Source organism: Homo sapiens, chromosome X, assembly GCF_000001405.40.
Source record: "Homo sapiens chromosome X, GRCh38.p14 Primary Assembly".
In the NCBI taxonomy this organism is placed as follows: Eukaryota; Metazoa; Chordata; class Mammalia; order Primates; family Hominidae; genus Homo; species Homo sapiens.
Window position 1 is genome coordinate 64430339 of NC_000023.11, and position 10253 is coordinate 64440591.

Below are 10253 nucleotides of genomic sequence, written 5' to 3' on the forward strand. Positions count from 1 at the left end.
TATATTGTAAGTTTTATCAAAATAATTTCTATGCCATTATTATTACATTTGGTTTGCTTAGGAAAAAACTGAGATTTAATTTTTTTAATTAATGTTATTACATTCATGTATCTTCCTTTATGTGCTTTTAATGTCCTTGTGACATTGAGTTACAGGGCTTTGACTCCTGGGTGTAAAAAGTGCACCAAGTCTTGCTAGATCTTAAACACTGAGAGCAATTAAAGTCTCATCTTCAGGCCCTGTAGAAGATGCCAACCAAAATAAACTGTATTCCTGAGATACAGGCCAAAAATTCAAGCTATGTCAACTCAAGACCCAGAGACTATCATGGAAAAGTTGGACATGGAAGATTGTAAGGGCTGATTTTGAAAGATAAAATAAATTCAGTTTCACTATAAATTAATCATTAATGTCAGAGACACAATGATGCAAAACCAGCATATGGGCCCCTGTGTCAAATTAACAAGGTTTTCTTGAAGCATTAACCAACTCCTTAATAAAGGTTATAAAGGCTTATGGAGGTTATATCTGATGGTCAAAAATTAAAATTTTATAGATTGTTTATAAAATTTTGAGAAACAAATTTAATCGGCTTCATGCTGTTATTAGGAGTTATTTTGAAAATCAAGTCTCCTCTCACAACAGATAATGTTTTTTGCCTTTTTTTTTGAAACCCTTGAGTTATCACTTTGGTGATTCATTGAGAATGACATATTTTACAATGACATGTGATTCTATTTTGTAATATCAAGTGTTTTAAACCTTTTATATTTGACAAGGTTTCCAAAATGAAATGATAGATTATGTATTTTTGGACCTGATTAATTCTTCAAGATATTATGTTCCCTAAAGTTCAAAAATGACATAATTTGACTTATTTGGTACAAAAAATATACAGGAAGCATTGTCAAATATGAAATTGTGTTTGGTTTTCTTTGGGGTGTATTTGTATAAATATGTTATTGGTATGTTTTCCAAAATTATGGGAAACTCCTGTAATTCTGATATGATTTAGTGTTCATTATCGGTAATAATAATAATTGTTATGTTAAAATTATTGTGTGCCACAGAAATAACACATTTCATTGTCAATTGTGTCTTTGAGTATGGCTGCCCTAAAATTTTTGTTATCCATAGACAATTGTCATGTTGTTTTGGTCTTCTTTAGAAGGTAGTTTTATAATTAGCTATAAAGTTCTTAACAAGTGCTCTTGAATGCAGGTTTCTGATAACTTTGGAGACTGTGACATGAGAATAAACAGTTTCAGGACTCATGGAGAGCTAAAACTTTAATGACTATCAAGCAAAACAGGAATTAATGGCATGGACTGGACTAATCTTTTTGACTTTTCACTAAAAATGTTGCTGATCCTTTGTTTGGTTTTTTAGTCTCGAAACTTTTCTTTAAAGCTATTGACAGCTTTTAACAATTTAGTATGTTCCGCTGAACAAAATTTGGAGCATATTTTTTTCTCTCTACCTGATTTCTCCAGGATTTGGAAACTATTTTTAAGTATTCTTAACTTATGACAATACAATTATTTGCATAAAGAATCTGTTTTCATTTGCAACAGGACACAATTGGAGAAGCTGATTATTTTACCAGGGCTTTGACTGGAATAGTGTGCTTTACTTTAAGGAATCAAAACTGCCCTCATACCTTTGTCTACACAACCCTTGTACAGGGTTTCTGACCTGTGGTAGTTAAAGAATGCCACTTTCTGACAGGTCCAGGAGCCCCAGGTTTATCTTGGAACCTCAAGAGGAGAGGAAACTTACCCAACTTATAGGTATTTGATGATACAAATCCATGGCTGGGCTCAGCTTAAAAAGTTTTATCTGAGGAAGAGGCTCCACATTGGGTGGGGATGGGGCCCAAAACTGTCTGGGTGTGAGCTGGGGAGCAGAAACCACCTGTCCCTCTCATTCCCCAGGACTTCTGTGACTCCTGGGCCACAGAGGTCCGATCAGGCTAAGGGCTTGGGCATACCCCCTGCCTGGCCTCCTTGCCCAAACTGACAGAGGGGCCAGGCTGAGCAGCAGCCCCTCTCTTACCTCAGCTATGAATCTCCTGCCCCCCAAGTCCAAGTGCAATCCACTGTGGAATGAGTCTCTGTCATCGCTGGAGGAGGGGCCTTCAGGGTCCACCCCACCAGAGGAGCTGCCTTCCCCATCAGCCTCATCCCTGGGGCCCATCCTGCCCCCTCTGCCTGGGAACCATAGTCCCACTACCCTGTGCTCCTTCTTCCCCTGGATGAGCAACCTGAGGCTGGCCAATTGGGCCGGGGGACACCTGGGGCCTAATGGGGAGCCAGGAAGGGCAGCCAATGATGGGGAGGGCATTGTAGGGGCAACCATGCCAGACTCATTCCCCTACCCCTCCTCCAGGACATGAACAAGCTGAGTGGAGGTGGTGGGTGCAGGACTCAGGTGGAAGGGGGCCAGCTGGGGGGTGAGGAGTGGACCCGCCATGGGAGCTTTGTCAATAAGCCCATGTGGGGCTAGCTGCATCCCAATGACAAAGTCACGAGACCTGGGGTTTCCTACTTGGTTTGGTACATGGGCTGTGTGGAGGTCCTGCAGTCAATGAGTGCCCTGGACTTCAACACCTGGACTCAGGTCACCAGGGAGGCCATCAGTTTTGTGTGTGAGGCTGTGCCAGGTGCCAAGGGGGTGACAAGGAGGAGAAAGCCCTGTAACCATCCACTCAGCTCTATCTTGGGAAGGAGTAACCTGAAATTTGCTGCAATGACAATCACTCTCACCATCTCCACCAGCAGCCTCAACGTCATGGTTGCAGACTGCAAACAGATTATCACTAACCACCATATGCAATCTATCTCACTTGCATCCAGTGGGGATCCGGACACAGCCAAGTATGTCGCCAACGTTGCCAAAGACCCTGTGAGTCAGAAAGCATGCCACATTCTGGAGTGTCCTGAAGGGCTTGCTCAGGATGTCATCAGCACCACTGGCCAGGCCTTCAAGTTGCACTTTAAACAATACCTCAGAAAACCACCCAAACTGGTCACCCCCCATGACAGGATGACTGGCTTTGATGGCTTAGCTTGGGATGAGGAGGAGGAAGAGCCGCCTGGCCATCAGCACTATAATGACTTCCTGGGAAGGAATCCCCTCTTTGGCATGTGGTATACATGAGGCTTCGGGAAGGAGCCACTCCAGGGGCTGCTCGACCCACTCCACCCAGTGCCCAGACCCCCAGCCACTTGGGATCTACACTGCCTGTAGGACAGTCTGTTGGGGGAGATCCAGAAGTTTGCAAATAGATGCCACCTCCACCACCCTGTCCAGGCAGAGAGCTCTTTGATGATCCCTCCAATGTCAACGTGCAGAACCTAGACAAGGCCCGGCAAGCAGGGGGTGGTGCTGGGACCCCCAATCCTGCCATCAATGGCAGCACACCCTGAGACCTGTTTGACATGAAGCCCTTTGAAGACACTCTTCACATGCCTCCTCTTCCCCAGTTGGTGTCCATGGCTAAGCAGCTCTGAGGGGACCCTGGTTCCAAGGGAAGCTGAGCTAGCAGGGGGCTGAGGCACTGCTGCAGTTCAATGGGGACTTCCTGGTGCAGGAGAGCATGACCACACCTGGCCAGTATGTGCTCACTGGCTTGCAGAGTGGGGAGTCCAAGCATCTGCTACTGGTGGACCCTGAGGGTGTAGTTCGGACAAAGGATCACCGCTTTGAGAGTGTCAGTCACCTCATCAGCTACCACATGGACAATCACTTGCCCATCACCTCTGCTGGCAGTGAATTGTGTCTACAGCAACCTGTGGAGCAGAAACTGTGATCTGCCCCAGCGCTCTCTTCCAGAAGATGCCCTCCAACCCCTTTCCACCCTATTCCCTAACTCTCAGGACCTCAGTTGGGAGTGTTCTGTGGGCATGGCTTTGTGTCAGAGCTGGGAGTAGTGTGGACACTGGGTTTCATATCCAGCTGAGTGAGAGGGTTTGAGTCAGAAACTTGGGGGAGAATACTGCTTCTCCCCAAGCATTAATCAATCATCAAAGTATTAATGTACAGAGTGGCCCCTTACCTGGGCCTTTTCTGTGCCAACCTGATGTCCCTTCCCCAAGAAGGTGAGTGCTTGTCATGGAAAATGTCCTGTGGTGATAGGCCCAGTGGAACAGTCACCCTTCTGGGCAAGGGGGAACGAATCACACCTCTGGGTTTCAGGGTACTCCAGACCCCTCTCAACACCCCCACCCCCATGTTTAAACTTTGTGCCTTTGACCATCTCTTAGGTCTGAAGATATTTTATGCAAAGAGTTTTTGGGACCTTGAGTTCAATGACAGGGATGCCAACACCTTCTTGGTTTCTGGGACCTGTCTTCTCCTTGCTCAGCACCCTCTCCAGTTTGGGTTGGGAGAACAGAGGCAGGAGTGGCAGCTGTCTCCTCTCCCTGGGGATATGTAACCCTTAGAGATTGCCCCAGGGCCCTCTCCTGGCCAGGGAGGAGATGGATCCCTCCCTTGCTCAGTGCCTCCTGGCCGGGGGGGGGGTGCCCTCACCCCAAGGCGTGTGTATATACATTTCATAAGGCCCACCCTCCCATGTTGCATGCCTATTGTACTCTACAGCCAAAGTGTAGCCCTCCCTCCTGGAGCCTCTGCCCTGCTTCCCTTTCTGGGAGGGGGGTGGGGGTGACTGAATTTGGGCCTCTTGTACAGTTAATGCTCCCAGGTGGATTTTGTGGAGGTAGGAAAAGGGGCATTGAGACTCTAAAGCAGTAGACAATCCCCAAATACTATCTGTAGAGTTGGAACTGCATTCTTTTAAAATTTTATATGCATATATTTTAGGGCTGTAGACTTACTTTTCTAATTTTGTTTTCCATGGCTTATTCTTGAGCACAAAATGATAATCAATTATTACATTTATACATCACCTTTTTGACTTTTCTGAGCCCTTTTACAGCTCTTGGCATTTTCCTCACCCAGGCCTGTGAGGTAACTGGGACCGGCAGCATTATCTTTTATACCAGAGACCTGAGGCAGATGAAATTGATTTCCAGCTAGGACTAGAAAACCTTGGGCCTCTTACTGCGAGGCTGAGAGGCAGAAGTTTGCCTGAATGCCTGTCAGTTTCACGGATGATAAATGCAAACCTACAATTAATGAGTACCTTCTACAGGCCTGGAACAGCCTAGGCCTGGAGTGGCCACACCACAGCAAACAGACCCCGCTCTTTTGGCCTTGTGGTTAATGGAGAGTTCACTGTTTTCATCCTGCCCTCCTTTTGTTGTTGTTTGGATGTTTCCATGGTCTCACTTATACCAAAAGGAAAACTCTTCATTAAAGTCCGTATTTCTTCTTAAAGAAATAAAAAAAAAAAAAGTTTCATCTGAGATTCCTTCTATGGAACAAAGTTTCATCAAAGTCAACCCAAGTCTATGTAAAAAATAATTATTCTTGCTGCACTGTATACAAATAATTAGGCCAAGTATAATAAAGCTAACCAGTCCTACCATAATTTGTCTTTAGTTAAAATGGAAAACTGAAGAGAGAAAAGTTCTGTTTCAAAAACTGTAGTACACTTGTTGTTAGAGTCTAGCCTTGCCTAATTTTTTTAATTTTTATTATTTTCTACAGTTTGAACCAAATTCTAATTTTTCTTGACTATAAAACTGCAAAATAATGCTTTTATTTTTTTCCTTTTTCCCCATTTTTCCTAATTTGAAATTACTGAAAACTAAGCTGTGCTTTCATAAAGCCATGAATACTGAAGCTAGAAAACTTAACTTCAGAAGAAAATAATAGTCCTATATACATACATAAGTGACTTTCATATCTGGCTACTGATGTATGAACTTCAGACTATGTGGCCTATATCGATTTTCCAGGATTGTTCTTTTGTTTGTTGTTGTTTTCCTCCCTTTTTTACCCCTATTTTCTTTTCACAGGACATGAGACTTCAAAACCTTCTAAAAATGAGCTTTCCTAATAACTTGGGGCCTACCTTTCTAGGAATAAAACATCCTAGCCATAAGAGATCAGATGAAACTGGAGACCAAAGACTCATTTTCTTTTAATATGCTTTCTCTAAAAGATTTTTCAAAAGAAAAGGGGGAAAATGTGAAAGAAAAATATCTTGGGCCCCCAAAATCACTGAGCTAAAAGGAAAATTTAAGCTGGGAACTGCTTAGGGCAAAACTGCCTCCCATTCTATTAAAAGTCATCTCTCTGCTCATTGAGATGACTGCATATCTGATTGTCTCCTTGGAAAGGCTAATTAGAAACTCACAATAATGAAACTATTTTCTCTCATCTACCTGTGACTTGGAAGCCCCCTCTCTGCTTTGAGTTGCCCCACTTTTACTTCAAGTTGTCTCACCTTTCTGGATAGACCAATGTTCATTTTACATATATTGACTGATGTCTCATGTCTCCCTAAAATGTATAAAACCAACCTGTGCTCTGACCACCTTGGGTGCATGTTATCAGGACTTCCTGAGGCTGTGTCATGGACAAGCATCCTCATCTTGGCAAAATAAACTTTCTAAATTAACTGAGACCTGTTTCAAATTTTCAGGTTTCATAAGATAAAGCATTGTATGAGTGCTTTAGGGTTCATAAAAGACTTTTATTATTTATTAATTCAACAAATATTCATTGAGTGCCTATTATATACTTAGTGTGAAGAGATAAATTACAGTATTATGTAGTAAGTGATATTAGAAAATGTATTTATTTATTCTTTCAAATATTTACTGAGTGTTGACTATGTTTCAAGCACTGTTGCAAGCACTGACAACACAATAGTAAGCAAAATAGGAGAAAAAAAACAAACCCTGCTGTCATGGTGTAGCAGGATGAGCCACGGACAAAACACCACAGACACTGAGGTAGTAAAGGAAGTAGCTTTAATCAGCTGGAAGCATCCGCAGACTAACGTCTCAAAATCTGAGCTTCTTGAGTGCACAATTTCTGTCCCTTTTAAGGGCTCACAACGCTAAAGATTTTACATGAAAGGGCCATAATCGATTGAGCAATCTAGGGGGTAAGTGACAGGGGCTGCATGCACCAGTAATCAGAGTGAAACAGAACAGAATGGGAAGTTTCACAATGTCCTTCCATACAATGTCTGGAATCTATGGATAACATTGGTTGCTAGGTCATTGGTTGAATTTTAACTACCAGGTTAGGTCAGGCAGGCCCAGGCCTGAATTTGGGTCTGGTGCCTGGTGCCAGGCTGCCTGCCTTTGGTTTCGCTTCCTTGTTTCTTCTTAAAATAGGTACTGAGTATAAAATACTATAAAACAATATGGGGGGTCTCTTTGTCTCTTCTCTCAATGGAACTTACATTTTAACCTGGGAGATAGATAGTACACAAAATAAATGAAATACACAATGTGTCAGATGATGATGAGTTCCAAGAAAGAAAGAAAGAAAAAAAAAGAAACAGAAAAGGTAAACAGGGAGTACTGGAGCAGAGTGGGGGAAGTTTTACAATTTTAAATGTTGGAGTTAAGGAGTGCCTTACCTATATCTTATGCTGAGTCAGCTCCTGGGTGGAGGCCACAGGACTAGTTGGTGCGTCCTGGTGGTGAAGGCATCCAGTTGTCAAAAATGCAAAAATCTGAAAAGACATCTCAAAAGGCAGTTCTTGGGTTCTATAATAGTGATGTTACCTTCAAGAGTAATTGAGGAAGTTGAAAATCTTATGACCTCCAGAATAATGACTGGCAATTATTTAAAATTCAGGTTTCCCTCACTCTCCTAACTTGGTGTCCTTTCACTAGTTTTAAACAGTTTAGTTTTTGCGAAAGGTTTTTATCATTTAAACTATAAACTAAATTTATCCCAAAGTTAGCTTGGCCCACACCCAGGAATGAGCAAAGACAGCCAACTTGTGAGGCTAGACACAAGATGGAGTCAGCTATGTCAGATTTCTCTTACTGTCATATTTTTGCAAAGGCAGTTTCAATAACACCAGGGTTTCAGACCTTAACAACTGGAGGAATTTTTCATTTGCTAAAATGGACAAGAAAGCAGGGGAAATTTTGTGGTGGGGAGCATGAGGGGATTTTAGATTGGGAGGTCAGTTTAAGTCATGCTAAGTTTAAGATGACTATTAGACATCCAAATGAAAATAAAAAATTTTAAATAGGCAGTTGGTTATACAAGTCTGCTATATAGGTTTTGCATCCAGAAGATATGTCTGGATTGGAGATATCAATTTGGGAGCTTTCAGAATATATATGGTATTTAAAATCACAAGAATGGATGAAGTTAACAAAGATGTGAGTGCAGACAGAGAAGCCACATGGTTAGTCTGTGGCAGTGATATAGGAGCTAAGAATAAATTACTTAGGCAGATAGTAAGGGTATGGGAATCCTTGGTAAGGCTTTTCTTTTTAATGAAAAGCAGCCCCAAGTTATTTTCCTTTTTAACAAAGAGCAGCCTGTAAAATTGAGCTACAGACATAGATACCAGAAGTTGTGCCAATCATGTTCAAGATGGCGCCTCCATCTTCCCTTCTCTTTGTTAGCGACGTGTACAGTAAGAAGCAGACAAGATGGTGCCAATCAACTGGAATGCTCATTTGCATAATAAGATTAGGGTGGGGCAACCAGCCTTCCCCACCCACTATGTAGACATCATAACTGATCGAACCAATCTATGAGCCCCATGTAAATCAGACACCACCTCCTCAAACTGGACTATAAAACTCAGCGCATTCACACCAGCGAGTTCTTTTTTCCACTCTGACGTTCTCTTTTGGGCTTTCTCAACATGAGGTAGCTTTTTCTCTCTCTTTTATTTTTCTATTAAACCCTTCTGCTCTAAACCCACTCCTCATGTGTGTCTGTGTCCTGAATTCCTTCTCGACTGACCGAGAGCCAGGGTATATACCCCAGACAACAGAGTCATTTCAGCAGGACTGAAATCAGTGGTGTGCTAATAAATGTTTAACAACAAATTGTCTAAAGGACAGAAGCCCTAATTTGTAGCATTTACCAGTTTTTGTGATGTAAATTCTTCTACTGCGGCCAATTTCAAGCTACAAGATGATGCCAATTAGTCATGAAATTCCTGAAAATTTACCAATTATCTCCCACTAGCATAGGTGAGTTCCAGCATACCATCAGCTGGGATAGAATGGGATAGAATGGGATAGACGTGGGCTTTTCCACTGAGTCCCAGTCTTCCTGACATTTGGGCCAAATCAGAGATGTACTAAAAAAAAAAAAAAAAAAAAAAAAAAGAGGTTAGAAGCGGTATCCGAGTCTTGGGTCCTTTTGGGTTTGGCCTACTGTTACTTACCAGAGGGATATAGATTACTTCACCCTTTGATGGGAAAAAAAAACCTTCTTATCTGCAAATCAGTTTTCAATTTTCCACACTGCCTCTTTTAATAAAAGCATCCTCTGCAAAAGACTATTGGCAAAATGCCAAGGTCAGTTCTATAAGGGGTGGCATATTAACTCATTGGCACTAATTAATATTACTTAGCTCTAGTCAGTTACTCTGCTGAGCACAAAGGTCCTGAGGAAATGATACCCAGGAAAACCAAATTTGGATAGGATATGAGGGTAATGGAAAGACAGTAGGGGATAGAAGTGACTACAATAAGATCTATATGATTTCAGTATTTCTTCTCTTCAGAAATTCACCACCATCTTCCCAAATGCTTAAGACAGGCACTTGGCGATCATCTTTAACTACTCCTTCTCTTTCAAACCTACCACCACTCATCGTCAGTCACCAAGTGCTGTTTATTATATTTCCTAAGTCTCTCGAAAGTCTGTCCACTTTCTTTTCATTGCCACCTGCACTACACTAATATATGTCACCCTCATCTCATTCCTAATTTCACCTTCCAGCTAGTGTCTCCTCCTTCAGGCTATTTATCCCACCACCAGCCTATTCTCCACAAAGTAGCTAGAATGATGTTTTTAACATGCAAATCTGATGGCACTCTCTTACCTAAAACACTTCGGGGCTTCCACTTACCCTTAGAATAAAAACAGAAAACCCCACCATAGCCTACAAAAGCCTGGCAACGTTAGGTTCTATCTACCTATTCAACTTTACTTTTTACTACAGTCCTTTCCTGTACACTTTAGTCATACCTTAGGGAGCTTTGCGCATATGTTTCCCTCTGCCTGAACCCCTCTTTCTCTCCCTCCTTTACATCTGCCCTCTGGTGTCTCTTGATGATGCTTTCTCAGCCTTCAGATTTCATTAGAAAAGTTGCTTTCTCTAGAAAACCCTCAAAGAATATTCA

General features: G+C 42.2%; 1 pseudogene; it reads left to right on the forward strand.

Moving 5' to 3' along the window:
• Nucleotides 1845–5336, forward strand: SHC1P1 (SHC adaptor protein 1 pseudogene 1; annotated as a pseudogene).